Genomic DNA, 20,418 nt, shown 5'->3' with positions numbered 1-20,418 from the left:
AATGTTCATGTTCACCACTTCCATTCAACAACTAACTGAAAGTCCCTAGCCAGGGCAATTGGGCAAGAAACAGAAAAGGCATGACTTCAAATAATGAAATGAAACTGTTTCTACTCACAGAAAATGTAATTTAAATCTTTTAAAATGTTTATATATTTGGGGGTACAAGTGCAGATTTCTCACATGCATATATTGTGTAGTGGTGAAATTTGGGCTTTTAGTGCACCCATAAACCGAAGAGTGAGTACTGGACTGTATCCAATAGGTATTTTTTCAACCCTCATCATCCTCCCACCTTTATTTCATTCTGTATGTCCATATGTTTCCATTGTTTAGCTCCAATTTATAAGTGACCACATGCAGTATTTGGCTTTCTATTTCTAATTTATTTCATTTAGGATAACGACCCCTAGTTCTATCCATGTTGCTGCAAAAGACATGATTCCATTCTTTTTTATGGCTGAATTGTATTCCATTTTATATATATATATATATATATATATATATATATATATATAAAGATGCACTACATTGAAAACATAATTTTTTTCATTAAACCTCCCCCCGAATAAAAAAAAAGCTACTAGAATAAATAATTTTAGCAAAGTTACAGCACACATGGGCAATATACAAAGATCAATCTTATCTATACAGTAGCAATGAATACTTGAAATTGCATATTTTTAAATCACCATTTGTAAAAGCACCCCAAAACATGGAATACTTCATTATAAACCTTAGGAAATATGTACAATATTCCTACGCTGAAAAATATAAAACAATAATTAAAGAAATTAACAATCTAAATAAATACAGACATGTATATTCATGAACTGGAAGACATAATTATTGTTAAGATGTAATTTCTCCCTAGATTTACACCTACATTCAACAATTCTAATCAAAACCCCAGAAGGATTTTTGTAAAAACTGACAAACGAATTTTAAAATTTATATGCAAAGGTGAACTAACTAGAACAGCCAAACAATTTTGAAAGAGCAGAACAAACCGTACTACCTGATTTCTAGATTTGCTGCAAAATGATAATTGCCCACACAGTGTGTGAACTGGAGAATGGACAGACATATATTAACAGACTGATGGAACAGAATAGAGAATCCAGAAATAGACCCATCTATGGTTTATATGGTCTGTAACATGCATCTGATTTACAATCTGCATAAGATTAATTAAATTACAACAAATGGTGCTGGAACAATTGGACATCCCTATGGGGGGAAAAATACCTTTACTCAAAATTTGATCACCTTATATAAAAATTAACTCAAAACAATAAAACACCTAAAAGTAACACCTAAAATTATTAAAGCTTCTAGAAGAAGATAAACTATGGCCATATTTAAAATGTTAGAAGAACCTCATGAACATAACAGAACAAAAGAAAACTGCATAAAAGCATATACAACAAGTTGAGCATAGTGGCTAATGCCTGTAATCCTAGCCAAGGCAGGTGGATCACATGAGGCCAGGAGTTCAAGACCAGCCTGGCCAACAGGGCAAAACTCCATCTCTAGTCAAAATTTTAAAAATTGCTCTCTGTGGTGGTGCAAGCCTGTAATCCCAGCTACTTGTGTGGTTGAAGCACAAGATTTGCTTGAACCCTGGAGGCGGAGGTTGGAATGAGCTGAGATTGTGCCACTACACTCTAGCCTGAATAATAGAGTGAGACCCTGTCTCAAAAAAAAAAAAAAAAAGCATATACAACAAAAGTATTTTAATCTAATATATAGTATTATTATAAGTCAGGATAGTGATCACTTTTAGGAAAAAAGAAAGGCATACAACCAGGTTGTCATGAAGAAAACTTCTGAAGTAATTAACTGCTAATGTTCCTTCTTTTTTAGGGTGGGGATTATAAAAGTGTGTTTACTTTTGAGAACTTAGCCAAGTATACTTTTATGATATGTAAATTTATCCATATGCAATATATATTTTAAAGCTTTTTTTTTTCTTTTGAGACAAAGTCTCGCTCTTGTTCCCCAGGTTGGAGTGCGGTGGTGCAATCTCAGCTCACTGCAACTTCCACCTCCCGGGTTCAAGTGATTCTCCTGCCTCAGCCCCCCTGAGTAGATGAGATTACAGGCACCTGCCACCACACCCAGCTAATTTTTGTATTTTTAGTAGTGACGGGGTTTCACCATGTTGGCCAGGCTGGTCTAGAACACCTGACCTCAGGTGATCCACCCACCTCGGCCTCACGAAGTCCTGGGATTACAGGCGTGAGCCACCGTGCCCAGCCATTAAAGCTATTATTTTTTAAAAAGACATTCACTGGATGTCATTTAAAAGTCTTTTTCCTTTTTCAGAGACTCAGTTCTTTATATATAAAGAAAGTTCAACCTGACCATCCTAATTCCTTGCTTTGAGCCAAGTGGTAGCTTATTGCAAGTTTCTTAAACTGAATTTTGGTGGTTTAATATTACATACTTGGGACTGACAGTATAAATAACCTGCATTTCTATCATTGATTCCATGAGTTATAATGAAGAGTTAAACCTCACATAATATAAATAATATGCTCTATGAATGGATCCTAAGTAACACAGAACTAAGCATTCAAGAGAATGCCCTCAGACTACTACGTTGACCATTTAGAGTTATTACTTTGTTATATTTCAGAGAGATTGAAAACATAAGAGTCATAGTTACATCCTTTTTCTTTTTCTTTCAAATCTAAAAAATAAAACTGGGAAAAATCAAGACTTTCAGAAAAAAAAGAACTAAGATAAAATACTAAAAATATTAACACTGGTCTACATGATACGGGAATATGCTAAAATCAAAACACATTGAATTCCTGCAGTTACCGTTCAAACTAGCAATCCTACTTTTAACACCATGATGAGGGGCAATAGCTACTTGGATAATTCCTCACAATTCTGTAAGATACTATGCTATTCACAAAAGGTAAGAACAGTCTTTATCCAACTCCATCCTAGTCAGGATATCAATGCATGCATTATTACTCTCATTAAAAGAGAGAAGAACTGAAGCTCTGAGCAGTTAAGAAGATCTACCCAAGGTCACCAGCAAAGAATGGCAAAGTGGGGAAAAGTGCACTGTACTAAGAGTCAAGACATCACGGATCTGGGTACCACTCTGGTACTAACTAGCTGAGTGTCTACATAGATTCGCTATTTATAGAATTAAAAGCTTGGCCCAGTTCAGCTACTCATAACTGTGGGCAGCAGATTCTTGCTGGGCCTTGAGTCAGAGGAGTTCTCAGATAAATGCATCATCTATGGACTAAATAAAATAATAAATACCTAATAAATAAATAAACACCAAAATAATACGCCCTGAGCACTGTTTATAGACGTATGTGCCTCTAGTTTTCAATATATGTTGAAGCTATTATAAATAATAAAATACATATTACTGTTACAGAATATAGAATGCATTAGAGATTTCTTCAGTATTGCATGTATATCAACATATATTAACTGTATAATTTATATTACATGGGTGTTGGTAATAAAATAATCTCTGAAGGCTCTTCCAATTTGAAAATGCTACATTGTAGAGCCTAGGACAGATGACTTTATGACAAAATCTAGGGCTCTTCATTCCATGGCAATGTTTTTTAGACGTTTAGCCCCGGGAACCTTTGTTTAATCTCAAGCACAAAGCCCAACATGAAATGCAGGTAATAATTGGTCTATTCTGTTCGATCAGTGTGTGTGTGAGTTCGGAGAAGAGGAAGGGGAGGTAAGGCCATGGAGAGCTCTGCCAGCCAGTCAGCTGCTCTAAGAAACCCCCAGGGATCTGTGGAGGAGTTCCAAATTAGCCACTGACAAAGGGTTAAAACTCATATAACTACCAATACACTAATAAGGAAAACATGAATAACCAAACCAAAAAGAAACAAAACAAAACAAAAAACCTGGATAAAGGATATGAATAGGCAAGCAGTTACTAAGCATAGAAAATGATGCTAAATCCACCAAAAATCATAAAAATGCAAATACAAACAATGAGATTCCATTTTTAGACAATCTTCTTGGCAAAAATTTAAAAGATGGAACATGCTCAAGGTTAATGAGAGTATGGGGAATCAGGCATTCTTACATACCATTGAAAAGAATAAATTTGGTTTCACTTTTGGAGAGCTATTTCAGTAGGTATCAAAATGGAAACATACATACACTTTTGACTTGGAAAACCCATTTTAAAAATATATCCTGCAGAAAGTTTTGGCCGGGTGTGGTGGCTCACGCCTGTAATCCCAGCACTTTGGGAGGCCAAGGTGGGCGGATCACGAGGTCAGGAGATGGAGACCATCCTGGCTAACACGATGAAACCCCACCTCTACTAAAAATACAAAAAATTAGCCGGGCGTGGTGGCAGACACCTGTAGTCCCAGCTACTCGGGAGGCTGAGGCAGGAGAATGGCGTGAACCTGGGAGGTGGAGCTTGCAGTGAGCTGAGATCGCGCCACTGCACCCCAGCCTGAGCGACAGAGCGAGACTCCATCTCAAAAAAAAAAAAAAAAAGAAAGCTTCAACATTTCATGAAGATAATTGCACAAAGATATTTGCTTTTAATGGCAAAAAAAAAAAAAAAAGAAACAATGTTAAATACTAATCAGTAGAGAAATGACTAAGGGAGTTACGGTTCATGTATCCTATAGAATTCTATATCACTAAAAATACTTAGACCCATATACATTATTATTTTTAGAAATATATCAAGCATACATTCTTAGGGAAAACAAAGAAGCAAGGTGCAGAACAATGTGTGTACTACTGTGTGTGTATACATACGCACGTATATAGGTTTATAATACACAACAAATTCTGGAAGGAAATATGCCAACTGCTAGTGGCTTCCTCTAGAGAGAGGAGTTGAAAACACTTTCACTCTATATATTTGTGCATAACTTGATTTTTTACTAGAAAAGAAATCACTTTTATAATTAAAAACCAAGAAGAACATTGCACTATATAGCATGCTGCCTCTCTACATATGCAAGTTGCTTGCATGAAGAAACTAAAACCTAAGTTAAACCTTAAGTGCAAGACACTATTCTGAACCCCACTTACGTACCTTTTTGTGATAAAGACTATAAAATTAAGGTAACAGGCACACTTTATGAGAAGGTAAGCACTTGCACATTCTGAAGACAGAAAACATGACATACTTCTATGCTGGAAAGAAAAAGGAGTTTAACAATAAAAAAAGATTTAGTAACGATAAAGAGCTTCCTTAAAATAGCAAGTCTCTGTTAAAATAATTAACAGGGCAAGGAGGACATAGGAATGGAAAGCAGTGAATGGCAAAGCTGAGACATTTGCAGTGATCCCCATGTCAAGCTTCAACAATTCTTGCAAAAAATATCTCTGAGGAAAAGTAGGTCAGCATACAAGTCCATAACAAGAGAGCTTTAAATCTTAAGTGGTTTTGTACCCATCGCGAATGTAAAGGTTAAACAGGTATTAAAAGAGCAATAATTCTTTCTGATTAAATTTTTATCCAAAGATAGAGTAAAAGGTTCAAGATGAAGTCAAGACTTTATTAGTTACAGGAGAGGCTGTGAGAGTAAAACTATCAACTGGCTGAGTGAGAGCTTCTATTTATTTACTTTTTAAGCTAAAGGTGATGTAGAATTGGAATGTTCTTGCTCCAGCAGGCTGAATGAGAACATGATAAAAGGCAGTTGACTAATTCTGGATTATTTTTATTATTGAGAAGATTTGGCTCACACTGAAGAGGAAAGAAGCAAAACAACTACACACATGTAGCTGAACTGGCAATTAAATAATTATTCATCACAAACAGTTAATCACCCTTTTAAGTGAAGAGGGTGGAACCCACACTGCAGCTGTATTTTAAGATACTGAGCAAGAAAATTCACCAGCAAGTGACAGAGTTCATAAAGTTTAAACATAAAATCTAAACAGACGCTTCACAGACGGTGAAATTTCCCTTCTCTTAGCATTGTTCTCTTATTCCTACTCAGCATCTTCCCAGCGTGGGCTTCCCATGTTGTTATGAGTGCTCCAGGAAGTCAACATATGGCTACATTAATTAAGGTCTCTCTAAAGTGTTCCTTGACATCAGAAACTACACTATCTATTTCTCTCCCCTCACTGAGCAGTACCGAAAGCCATTGTACCCCATACGATAAGAGGTACATAAAAGAACTGCAGTATGTCCAGGGCAGAGCCACCAGGATGAACACAGTTAGAGCTGAAAACCTGACCTGTGAGGAAAGATAAAATGAACTTAGGATGTTGAGACTGAAGAGACAGCAGCTTAGGGAAGAATAAAAATTCATCTTTGAAGATCAGGGAGACATCTCTGAATGTCTCAACAGGCCTTATTATGTTCCTAGAGTGGGCTAGATTTATGAGTGGCATTGTCTATTATGTGGTAATTTGATACTGAGAAAGTATCAAGAAAGGAATATCAAGAGTATAGGCCCTGCCTGACTGCCTGAGTTGAAGTCTGAGATCCCCTTATATCTGTGCCAACTTGAACTAATTAGTAAATCTAAGTTTCTATTTTCTCCCCTATTATATAGAATGGGCCAGATTGCCCGTTTCATAGGATGAAATGCACTACTGTAAGTATTCACTATTAAATTTGTCATTACTACTTATATTTTATATGTCATGCAAACATTCAATGTCAACACAGACATACAAATGTATGAAGGATATAAAGTGGCCTTCCTGGGAACCTGACATGAGTCAGGCCCTACACCAGGAGCTGTCTTATAAGTTTTCTTACTTATTCATTCCCATTCTCCTGGTGGAAAATTCAGAAGGTTCAGAGTTGTAAAGAAACTTGTCCAAGTTCATAAGCAAATGGTTTCATCATAGAGTTCAATGTGAGCTTAATTCAACCTCAAAGCATTTTTCCCACCAGAAGGAGCTTTGGGAAACACAAATAGAAAGAAAAGTTATAGGCCCTTCTCTCAAAAGCTTCTCTTGTAAGGAATATAATACATACACATATAAATGCATAGCTATATAAATTAATATATGTCAAAAAGTGAGCAGAGCAGGGAGTGACTACTTCTAACTGGGGAGCAAAGGGAATCTTCAGAGATTAGATTACGTTGGAATTGGCCATGTAAGATTTAGACATAGAGATGTGGGAAAGGCATTTCAATGCAGGGGACAGAATGAGGAAAAGCAAAGTCAGAAAAGGATGGGAGCTTTAGGGGAACACACGGCAGGTCAGGATGGCTAGAGTGTAGGATATGCCAGATGAGATCGAATAATCTGGGTCAGAGGCAAGGCTTTGATCTCTCCAACTCTTCTGTATCTAGAAGTCTAGAAGATTATGAGATTTTGATCTGTAGGAACAAACATTAGGCAGCATGGGCAGGATGGACTAGAATAGTGGCAAATGCCTTCCTACTACTTTAAACATATCCCAGTCCTCTTGTGTGGGATGCATTACTTCCCTCAACCTATGAAGTAACAGACTTAGGAAGAACACTTTAATAGCTTCTAGCAAATCCGTGACAAAAACAGACTTCTCACGCTATTGACTTCTGTCCTCCCCTGCTATGTTAGGTTACCAGAGCCTAGAGTAACCAGCTGCATAGAGCCCTGCTGTGTTTGTATTTGCAAGAAGGAGGAAGAGGAAGAGGAGGAGGAGGAGGAGGAGGAGGGGAAAAGAGCTGAAGACAATTCCCTCTAACGGCTATTCTATTCATTGGGAAGAAAATAAAACCAACCAATTTGTTGTCAGGGCAGAGTCTGTGGAGATGGAAGCCTTGAGCTCCAATTTTAAAGTTAGTGGAAGTTTTAGAAGGGAAAGATAGGTCATTTTAGGGGGCAGGAAACGGGATGAAGAATAAGATATCTGGTTCAATCAGAAGGATATTTTGAAGATTGTGAAGAAGGGAGGACTGCAATGGGGTCTGTGTAGAAAAATGGAAAGTATCCTGGCCTAGGAATTGGAAGGCTGTGATCTAGATCTATTTCTCAAAATAATTATCAAAAAGTTGTAGATAAGATGGAATTGGCTAGCAGAAGAAATATGGTTCAAATCCAATGTGTCTTTCTACTAAATCATGTAGTAGAAAATGCAGACTGGGCTCCTATTTGGAACAGGAAATACCTTTCACTCTTCGGGTCATGTTCTTAACTAAACATGGTTTCTTCGTGCTCATCTTACTTTCAGCTCTGGGAAACGATGAGGAGAGTTGGAGAGATGTTGAATACATGGTGTGTGGCTAGCAACCACAACACTTAGGGAAAAGGTTCCCCCAGTCACTTACTCATGATGTTGCTTCCATAGCTCCCCTATTGCCAAAGACCTTTCAGGAAAAGCCTGTAATGGATGGGTGGTATAAAATAATAAAATGGCTAGGCTTTCCTGTACTTTTGGGAAAAAGGCCAAAATGCTTAGCAAGGCCTAAGTCCTTCATGGTTTATCTCTCAAAACTCATCCTGCATCATGCTTCTCCCTCAGTCTCTGAGCTCTGACCACACTGGCCTTCTTTCAGTTCCTCAAATCAGCGTGCTGCACTGTCTGGAGATGTCTAAACTCCTACTCACTCCTCATAACTCAGTGAAGTATCACTTCCTTAGGAATGCCTGTCTTAATCTCTGTCTAAGTCAGGTTCCTGTGTTTTAATTATCTTAGGACAATACTCCTTTCTTTTAAAACACTCTGTCCATCTCCCTTAACAGAATAGAAACTTCCTGAAAGCAGGCCACTTGTCTGTTTTTGCTCACCACGGAATTTCCAGTGCCTGACATGTGATAGGCTGTCAACTGAGATTGGCTGAATAACTGGATAAGCATTTTCTTCTTCAAAAATAAGGCGCACCCCACCAACTGTCAACAAGGAGGAGTAAGAGATTAAATTATCTAGTTGGTGCAAATCGAATCTATATGTTAGTCATTGATATAAATCAGACCACTGCAGAAAACACATATAGGAATAAAATACATATTATGTAGGGAAAATGAATTTTATATACTCTGTTAATATATAACCACAAAATTCGATTTGGAAAATTGCAGGAAAGTATGCTGATCCACAGTAGCTGATGACGATGATGATGACGATGATGATGATGATGATGAAAGCATGACAGAGACTAGATAAATTTGAACCAAACTAATTCCTCTTCTTTTGGGGGTATACAGTGTGGCCACATTTCCAAGCATTCTTTGTTACTGTGTGAAAGTGAATGAGCCCCAGCCAATAGAATATTTGTAGAAGGAACACTGTTTTACATTTATGAGTCTGGAAACTGTAACCATCCCACCACTGTCCCAGAAGATCCTTAATACTCTCTTCTAATTTTAATTCACATAATCTGGCATAGGACCTCTAGGCTTTAGAGACTGGTGGAACCACTGGATGGAATAAGACAGAGTCTCTGAATCCCACGTGGAATGCACTGGCTAAACATGGGGGATTTTTGTCAGACAAAAATAAACTTGCATTGTGTTAAATCCCTGAGATTTAAAAATGTGTTTGCTAGAGTAGTTAGAATTACTTGCTCAAACTAAGACATTAAGAAAATCACGTGTATTTTTTAACGTTATCTTTCCTGATAACACTTTGGGTAAAAACATAAAGGTAGATTTCATTAATCAAATTTACTTCTTTTGTTTTTGTTTTTGTTTTGTTTTTGAGACGGAGTTTTGCTCTGTCGCCAGGCTGCAGTACAGTGGCATGATCTCAGCTCACTGCAACCTCCACCTCCCGGGTTCAAGCAATTCTCCTGCCTCAGCCTCCTGAGTAGCTGGGACTACAGGCACACACCACAACGTCCAGCTAATTTTTGTATTTTAGTAGAGACGGGGTTTCACCGTGTTGGCCAGGTTGGTCTTGATCTCCTGACCTCGTGATCCTCCTGCCTTGGCATCCCAAAGTGCTGGGATTACAGGCATGAGCCTCCGCACCCGGCCTCAAATTTACTTCTAACACGGCTAGCTACCCATTCCTACTGCTCCATGGTTTCTGTAGGTTCCCGGGGCTGAGCATAATCTTGGGGCCATTTTTTTCTGGCTCTTGTCCAATAAAGAAAAAAAAAACCTTTGTCATGGTCTCTGCCTCTGCCAAAGACCTTCCTTAGTGAGGTGCACAAGGACCCCCTGAGGTAGCCCTTCTCAGCTTGTATTAGGTGATATCGAATTCTTTTTTGTGCTGAATCTCAAATCTCCTCGATGGCTTTTTCCAACAAATCGTTTTTCTAACACAAGGAAATGGGTTTGATAAAGATCACTTTTTTTCTATTTGCCCCTTCTTGCCCTCTAATATGAATCCAGCTAAATATAAATTGGGAGTAAGACAGAGGTAGGAGAGTCACTTAAATTGCAGTTTCAGAATATGCCAGAAACTTAGAGAACAAAATACAAATTCACCTTTTATGCTGGTGATACTTTGGGAAATGGCAAGTTCTCCTCCCTACAAATGAGCCATTAAAAGTCTGACTTTTACGTAATATTTATTATTAAACAATGATAAATAATAACAAAACTGCCCATGTCTGGGCCTCACTTTTAGAGATTCTGATTTTATTGTTCTAGGGCAGAGATTTAGGCATCAGAATCGAAAAAGAAAATTCTCCTGGTGATTCTAAAATGCAGCTAGAGTTGAGAACCAGTGAGATATACCTCTATGTAACTATCAACTGTCAATACAAATTATCCATGTATAAATATTGTACTGCAGGGAATAAAATGTAATATGCTTACAGAGACCTCTCCAAAACAGCTTCTAAAATCAGGCTGAATTCATTGCCTGAAGAAAAGCGTCCTTTCTTGTCATGATTTCTGCCCTTTATTAAAGCACCTTAAGTTGGAGCTATGAATAGTCTCGGTGGGGCAGTCCTGGCTGGAGGGAAACTAAGGCAAGGACTTGTGTCCTGCAAAGGCAACTACATAGACAGTCACTTCATTTACCACATATAAGAGGCCCAGACTCCTTTACAAACATGGGAATATGAGTTCCACAAGGGCAGAGACTAATGTACCTGGTTGCCACCTACAATACTGGCCCTAGCACCTAAGGGCACACCTTCTTAAAGATTCTTTCACTGATATTAAACCCAATTAGACGGAAGGCTAGAAAAGTTGCCCATTTACCCATACAGAGAGAAGACAGCTTCCAAGAAGGCCTGGATACCCTTCTGCTAATTAATAAAGCACATATACTCCCATATGAGTAGGCTTTACTTAAAGGGCAGGCTGGCCGCTTACTCTTATGTCAGGACATCATTGAAATGACAGGTTAGATCGCTGATGTGGGTCTCAATTTTGCTATCAGTATAATGAGAAAGTGGCCGGGCATGGTGGCTCATGCTTGTAATCCCAGCAGTTTGGGAGGCTGAGGTGGGAGGATCACCTGAGGTCAGGAGTTCAAGACCAGTCTCTCCAACATGACAAAACGCCATCTCTGCTAAAAATACAAAAATTAGCTGGGCGTGGTGGTGGGTGCTTATAATCCCAGCTACTAATGAGGCTGAGGCAGGAGAATCGCTTGAGCTCAGGAGGCATAGGTTGCGGGAACAGAGATCGTGCCACTGCACTCCAGGCTGGGAGACAAAGCAAGACTTCATCTCAAAAAAAAAAAAAAAAGGATAAATGAGAAAGGGAGGCTTGACTAATCTTCATAATCTCTTCCTTCTAGACTGATACGTACAAAGTAACTTCTCTGGGCCTCTACTACTGTCTGCCAGCCCCTCTGACACTGACAGCCACCACAGCTGGGCTTCCTGTGATGTGGACCGGTGCCCACCAGAGGGACTGGAGGCATACTGACTCGCAGTGCACGGCCCTGTCTTCTTCCCCTCTGCGGAAGCTTCAAGATTCTGTCTCTTTCACTCTGCTTGATAAAAATCTTCCTTCACGCAAACCAGTGAGGAGACTTTAAATTAAATCCAGCATCATCTTAACCTCATACTCTCCATACAGCTGATACTTACTTAAATGCAGTGCCTCCCAGTATTCCAAAAGTCTTGTGATCAGGGTGGGTGACTGAGCAGAGGGAACTCACTCTGATTTTACTTTCTTTACTTCTGATTTCAATCACATTATGAATGAGCGGGAAAAAAGAAAGAGTAAATTAATCTAATGTATTCTCACTTGTTTTTGTTATTTTTCTTTGCCTCACAATCAACCAGGTTTGTTTACACCTAGAAAAAAAACCAAAAAAACAAAAAAACTGTGGGCTTTCCGTTGGTTTGCACTGAACTGCACTGCATCAGAGAAGCTGGTCCTGCCAGCTGAACAGCAGCCCTTTGAGAGAAGAGGGAAGGGGCAATTCTAAAATGCTGCCAGTGAAGATTTTACTGGGACCTGAACAGAAAGGTAGGATTTGGATTGTTGCTTCTCACCGGCAGCAAACCTGGTATGTCTGGCACAATCTGAGGAGGAGGCAGTGAGCTTGCGGTAAGCAGGCAAAGGAGGTGAGTATGGAGCTGCTCCCAAGGGCTGTAAATGTTGACTGTCACAGGCTGAATCCATCTGATTGGAGCTGAAACTAAGAAGGATGAAAAACGTTTCTCCAAGCGGGAACCATTCCAGGTGTTCTCTCCTTTCCCTGTTACACAAAATCTTGAAGGGCGTTAAGTTGTTAACTCGTATCCTGTCCTACAAACTCTGAGAATAGATATACATGATTAGGCTACACACGGTGCTTGGGCTGAGAGAACAGAACCAGGAGGATGGCAGTGGGAAGAAGGACAGCCTGGTATAGCAGCAAAAACAGGGCACTTGGTTGGGTTCAGAAGACCTTAGGGTCTGTGTTGTCTTAGGCGCTTACTCACTAGAGCTCATCCATTCCAACACTAATAGAGCATCTACTATGTGTTAAGCACCAGGTAATGGCAGGGAACTTAATAGTGTCCTCAACACAACAGGGGGACAGAAACTTTCCCTGTCCTCAAGGAATGGGGTGCAGGCAAACAAAACCAAAATCTATACTAAAAAAATAACAGGTGCTATGAAGTGAGACATGCAGCATGCTCTGAGCAGGACATATGAGCAGGACAACGCAATCTTGTGAAGTCAGAGGGGGCTCCATGGAAGAAGTGAAAAATCAGCTGAGACCTGAAGGATGGCAATGTACTGGCCAGGCAAAAGCCCAAGACGAGTGTTCTAGGTACAGAAAGATCACACACAAAAGACTACGGATAGACTAATCATGGTGCAATGGAGAACAGTAGTTCCATGTGTTTGCATCACAGTGGTAAAAAAAAAAAAGAAATGAGGCTAGAGAGATACAAAAGCATTTCATCTCAGTCACTTAATTGCTGGAGCCTATTCATTCAGAACATACATCACCAACACAAGGCCAATGACAAACGATCGCATAAACAAGAGAAACAGAAACATGTGAAGAAGTTTAGCTTTTATATACAGAACAACTAGAGACAGAGCATTGGGAAGAGGGACTCATTGAAGAGTTTTAAATAGGGAAGCAACAGAATGAGGTTTGAATTCACAAAGACCATTCACTTTTCCTTTAGGAAGCTATTTAGCAGTAAGAGAAAAGCATAGAAATGTAGGTGGCAGAAGGGCTGGACAGAACGCAGAGTGAGTGTGCACCCATTTCTCCCAGAGCAGGACCTTGATCTGCAGAATGACCATGCTCCTGAGAGGCAATGGATGGTCTCTAGGGGCCCTTCCACTCTGAGGCCTACATTTCATGATTGCTGACAGACTGCAAGATACAAGAAAAGCCACAGGTAAGTCACCCGCTTGTCCATCATGTTTTGGGACTGAGGGCAAGGCTTCTGCCTAAGCAGGATTATTACCATTTTTGACTTTTGAAGTCACATAAATCTAAAGTGTCTAAAGTGTTTTTCTAAAGCGTTTTTTTTTTTTTGAAGACTTTTCTACTTGGGTCAATTAAGTTGGGCAAAGCAGTGAAAAGCACCATCGCTACCTAGAATAAGAAAAGCTGAATTCTACGCTATATGCTAACATTTTTTTTTTTTGGAGACAGAGTCTCACTCTGTCGCCCAGGCTGGAGTGCAGTGGCATGATCTTGGCTCACTGCAACCTCCACCTCCTGGTTCAAGCGACTCTCCTGCCTCAGCCTCCCGAGTAGCTGGGATTACAGGTGCCCGCCACCACACCCGACTAATTTTTGTATTTTTAGTAGAGACAAGGGTTTCACCATGTTGGCCAGGCTAGTCTTGAACTCCTGACCTCAGGTGATTCGCCTCCCAAAGTTCTAGGATTACAGGCGTGAGCCACTGCGCTCAGTCTGTATGTTAACTTTAAAAATACACAACACACACACATTTATTCATTTAAAAATTCAAAAATTCAACTGTCATAGAAGGGTAGAGAATGAAAAGTAAAACTCTTTTCCAGAGATAATCACTAAAAGATTGGGTAATACTTATACAGGCATGTATCAGATTGCTTATACATGCCTGTATAAGCATGTACACACACACACACGCACACACCACACACACATTCACATATAAACACTCATGTTTGAAATTTTTCTTCAAACACAAATCAGATCCTTTATGTCCTATTTTGTACCTTGTTTTTTCCTAAAATAGTTTTTAAGGTGTCTTTAATTAGCATATATAGATTTGTCTTATTTTTCTGATAGCCTCCATGTTATTATTGCATGCAGTTGCTGTACTTTATTTTACTAGTCCTTTTATTCTATCATAAAAATGTTGCAATGTGTATTCTGAAACAGAATACCACTGTGCCTTTATGCAAATACGCCTACTGTCTGAAATCGAGTTGCAGGGTCAAAAATAGTGCACACCTAAAATTTTGAAAGATAGTGCTAAATTTTGTTTCGAAAAGGTTGTATTAATTTGTACTCCTATCACAAGCCCATGTGAGTACATGCTTCCCATACTTTTGCCAATACCAAGCATTGAACTTATAAATGCCGGCTGGTCTGAGAATGAAAAAATAATATTTTAAACTGTATTTCTTTAAATAATTTGAACATCATTTCATTGGTTCATTTGTTATTTTTATTTTCTCTTCTGTGAATTGCCTGTTGATAGGTTCACTCTTTTTGTCTAATAAATGATTCTTTTAAAACCAATTTCATGAGATTTTTAAAATATATAATCAAAATTATTGGCATCAATGTTGATTATTCCTGTAAACATGAATAAGTAAGTGAGCTGGTTTCCAACTTTGTGAGGATTAAATGAGAAAATGGGTTTGCAAGCACATCAAAAGCTGGAAAGCACCACAGACACATAATTCTTGTATGTTAGGAAGATTTATTTACGTGAATGTTTTGAATCATAGTACATGCATAATCTGGCCACACCATGTGACAGAACGAGGTAAGTGCTTACTGTCATAAAGTATAAGACCGATTAAGGGAATAACCTGAGTAGCTCTTTTTGAATTAAATGTACAGGCTTAGTCAGCTGCTCAAGGCCAGCCCCCTGGGCCCAGCTTTCCTGATTTTCAGTTCAGTGTACTTTCCTCTAAATCAGACATGTTATAATAACCGTTCAACAACAACAACAACAAAAAGGGTTCCAGAACATTGCAATAAAGTGACTATTGAATAAAGTGTGTCACACTTATTTTTTTGGTTTCCCAGTGCAGTAAAGGTTATGTTTACACTATATGGTAGTCTATTAAGTGTGCAATAGCATTATGTCTAAAATAACAATGTACATACCTTAATTAAAAAATACATTGTTGCTAAAAAAAAAACCCAACAACAACAAAAGACTCACTATGGATGAGGTAACACATTCAGTAAAAATAACTGAGGTTAGTGGCCACAGACTGGGAGGAACAGCAAGGTCTACAGGGATGGAGTCAGCAGGCACAAGAGCAGCCACAGAAACTGAGAAGGGGCCCCAAAGACTGATGATGCAACACGGACAGTCAGCATAAGTTAGACCTTGATTCATTCTGGTCTATACTATGTGGGAAAGATGAAGAAAATGGAAAAAACAAAAAATGAAATGAGTGCTGGCAAGATTCACAGGAAATGACTAAAAGGTTTAGAGCCGGGGGGGCGTGCTGCAGGGTTGTAGGAATCGGAACCATTTAGCCAGGATGTGATCATTTACCCCACTGCTACCCCTTTGATGCTTATACAAAGGGTTCTGTAGTCAGTGATGTCATCCTTCTTCAACTCAGTACAGCCCCAGAGTCAAGAAACACTTACTCGGTGCTTACTGCAGGATGCAATGAGAAACAAGACATCAACCCTCCCCTTAGGGAAAATGTATAGCTACTGAGGTATGTGTCAAATAGGTAATTTAAATACAGTCTTCTAAATGCTATGATGAGGAAAAGCAGAGGATGCTATTACAGGATGATGGGGAGGATAAGGCACAAGAATCACACATACTTGAGGGAAAAGTGATGTCTAAATGGAGGCCTGAAGGAGGAGAGTTTTTGGCTAGGTGATTGGGATGGAGATGGGAAAGCTACACATTCCATCAAGGACAAGTGTTTACCCAGCCACAGGCATGAGACAATCTCTCTGTTTTGGGTGTGTGTTTAGGTATGTGTGCACAAGTGGATGTGCATGTGTGTGCATGTGGCTATGAGCTCTTTACATGGTAGTGTGAGGAGTATGAACTGTCTCTTCCAAGTAATGAAAAGTCACTAGAAAACACTGAAGGAACTTGTCTCATAAATGAAAGAAGATATAAAGGAAGCCAAAGTATTATGTCAGAAATTGGTTAATAAGTGGATAAGAGGGGATACTGAAGGAAGAGGAAGGATACAGGCCAGCTCCTGTGCCTTTGGTTGGAGCAACAAGGTAATGCCATTCATGGAAAAGGAACACAGAGAGGAGCAGGTTTAAAAGGGAACACCTTGGGTTCTGTCTGAAACTGTTGCATTTGTGGGCCTATGGGCCAATCTATGAAGACTGCAGGCTAAAATGATAGATACATATCTGGAGCTTACAGAGAGATCCAGCTGCAGATTTTGGCCAGAGAGTTCTCAGCACACAGATGATATTTGTACTCACGGAAGCAGATGAAATAACTCAGGAGTACAGATTGAGACAAGAAGGGAGATTAGGGCAGAACTCAAGAAAAATGGAGAATTTAAGGAATGAAGAGAGGAAATCTATTAAAAACGGTAGAAAGTTGTGTACAGCGATAGGAAGAAAACCCAGAGTGTACGGTGCTATAGAAGTCAAATGAAACAAAGATAGAGTCAACATCTTTAAATGCTGCAAGAGCTCAAGAATGATAAGGACTGAAGAGTCTTAAGTGTATTAAACATCAAAGAGGTCACTGGTGATGTTCAGAAGTGTGGTGTAAGTGGAGAGGTGGGGATAGAAACTGAATTACAGGGAGCTGAACTGTTAGTAGAGCAAAGACAATAAAGCTTAGATGTATGTGTGTGTGTGCGTGTGTGTGTAAGAGAGAGAGATCTAAAGTTGTCAAAGGGTTTTTAATTTTGATTTTAAATTTATATTTAATTAATTTTTCAGTTAATGTAGGAATTTTATTTCAAATCTAAAATTGCCTTTTCTATAAATTAAACTTTAAATTTTCTTATAATTGTAGATTCATATGAAGTTGAAAGAAATAACGTAGAGATCTAAGTACCCTTTATCCAGTTTCCCCCAACAATAATACCTTGTAAAACTATGGTACAATATTACAGCCAGAATATGAGATTGATACAGTCTATCAATCTTATTCAGATTTCTCCACTTGTCTGTATATATGTGTAAGTTCATGCAGGTGTGTGTGTATTTGATTTATGTAATTGCACTGCCTGTATAGATTAATGTATCTGCCACCATGGCAAAGATACAGAGCAGTTCCATCACCACAATGATCCCTTCTATTGTCCTTTTATAACCACAGCTACCCCAAACCCCCAATTCCTAATCCCTGACTTCTTGTCTCCCATCCCTAACTCCTGACAAACACTAATCTGTTCTCCATTTATATAGTGTTATTTCAAGAATGTTATATATAGAATCATACAGTATGCAGCCTTTGGGGGTTGGCCCTTCCCACTCAGTATAATTCTTTTGAGATTCACCCAAGGTGTTGCATATATCAACAACTCCTTCCTTTTATTGCTAAATCGTATTCCAGGGTAAGAATGTGCCACCGTTTAACCATTCACCTGTTGAAAGACATCTGGGTTTTTTCCAGGTTGGGAATCTTACAAATATAGCTGCTATGAACAAATATTTGATTTGTTCATTTCCCTGGGATATACAAGTCTTCATTTCCCTGGGATAAATGCCCAGGAGTGCAACTGCTGGGTCACATGGTAGTTGCAGGATTAGTTTTAAAAGAAGAAATTCCCAAAACTTTCTCTAGAATGGTTGTTCCATCTTATATTCTCATCAGCAAAATATAATTGATGCAGTCTCTCCACTCCACATCCTCTTCTGCACTGATGGTTGGTTTTTTTTTTTTTTTTTTTTTTTTTTTTTGAGACGGAGTCTCACGCTGTTGCCCAGGCTGGAGTGCAGTGGCATGCTCTTGGCTCACTGCAACCTCTGCCTCCCAGGTTCAAACAATGCTCCTGCCTCAGCCTCCCAAGTAGTTGGGATTATAGGCACCCGCCACCATGCCCGGGTAATTTTTTTTGTATTTTTAGTAGAGACAGGGTTTCAGCATGTTGGCCACACTGGTTTCGAACTCCTGACCTCAAGTGATCCACCCGCCTCAGCCTCCCAAAGTGCTAGGATTACAAGCATGAGCCACCGGGCCCAGCCTGCACTGATGTTTAATATCATTAGCACTTTGAGAAAAGCAAGTCAAACTATAATGAGATAATTACTACACACCTATCAGAATGGCTAAGATAAAAAATAGTAACAAAACCATCATGGTACCTATTTGAGACATGTCAGCATACTGATGATATCTAAAAGCTTGGGAGGATATGAGGGTGACTAAAGAGAAAATTGAGAAAGAAAATGATCCCAGAGAGACTGGACAACTTAGGAGTCAGGGAGAATACAAAACAGCAAAGGTAACTGAGACATAGGTAAAGAGAAAATCAGCAGGCTGGTCCTATGGAAACAATGTGGAGATTCCTTAATGAACTAAAAGTAGAACCACCATTTAATCCAGCAATCCCACTACTGGGTATCTACCCAGAGGAAAAGAAGTCATACGAAAAAGATACTTGCACAAGCATGTTTATAGCAGCACAATTCGCAATTGCAAAATCATGGAACCAACCCAAATGCCCATCAATCAACAAGTGGATAAAGAAACTGGGATGTGTGGGTATGTGTGTGTGTGTGTGTGTGTGTGTGTATATATATATATGATGGAATATATATATATATATATATGATGGAATATATATATATGATGAATATATATATATGATGGAATATATATATATGATGGAATATATATATATGATGGAATATATATATGATGGAATATATATATATGATGGAATATATATATATGATGGAATATATATATATGATGGAATATATATATATGATGGAATATATATATATGATGGAATATATATATATGATGGAATATATATATATGATGGAATATATATATGATGGAATATATATATATGATGGAATATATATATATGATGGAATATATATATATGATGGAATATATATATGATGGAATATATATATATGATGGAATATATATATATGATGGAATATATATATATGATGGAATATATATATATGATGGAATATATATATATGATGGAATATATATATATGATGGAATATATATATATGATGGAATATATATATATGATGGAATATATATATATGATGGAATATATATATGATGATGGAATATATATATGATGGAATATATATATATGATGGAATATATATATATGATGGAATATATATATATGATGGAATATATATATATGATGGAATATATATATATGATGGAATATATATATATGATGGAATATATATATATGATGGAATATATATATATGATGGAATATATATATATGATGGAATATATATATATGATGGAATATATATATATGATGGAATATATATATATGATGGAATATATATATATGATGGAATATATATATATGATGGAATATATATATGATGGAATATATATATGATGGAAATATATATATATGATGGAATATATATATATGATGGAATATATATATATGATGGAATATATATATGATGGAATATATATATATGATGGAATATATATATATGATGGAATATATATATATGATGGAATATATATATATGATGGAATATATATATGATGGAATATATATATGATGGAATATATATATATGATGGAATATATATATATGATGGAATATATATATATGATGGAATATATATATGATGGAATATATATATATGATGGAATATATATATATGATGGAATATATATATATGATGGAATATATATATATGATGGAATATATATATATGATGGAATATATATATATGATGGAATATATATATATGATGGAATATATATA

General features: G+C 37.8%; 1 protein-coding gene across 50 annotated transcripts in view, besides 1 other annotated feature; it reads right to left on the bottom strand.

Moving 5' to 3' along the window:
• Nucleotides 1–20,418, bottom strand: part of LPP (LIM domain containing preferred translocation partner in lipoma) — a 737,651-nt gene that overhangs the window by 85,910 nt on the left and 631,323 nt on the right. The gene's annotated exons all lie outside the window — the stretch shown is intronic.
• Nucleotides 8,392–8,561: a silencer, noted in NCBI's record as "silent region_14996". NCBI's record gives its function as "represses an Ori minimal core promoter by ATAC-STARR-seq in GM12878 lymphoblastoid cells {active_cell/tissue: GM12878}" and the evidence as "EXISTENCE:reporter gene assay evidence [ECO:0000049][PMID:35858748]".

The sequence above is a fragment of the Homo sapiens genome, chromosome 3, assembly GCF_000001405.40.
Source record: "Homo sapiens chromosome 3, GRCh38.p14 Primary Assembly".
NCBI lineage: Eukaryota > Metazoa > Chordata > Mammalia > Primates > Hominidae > Homo > Homo sapiens.
This window is presented reverse-complemented; position numbering and strand designations above follow the sequence as displayed.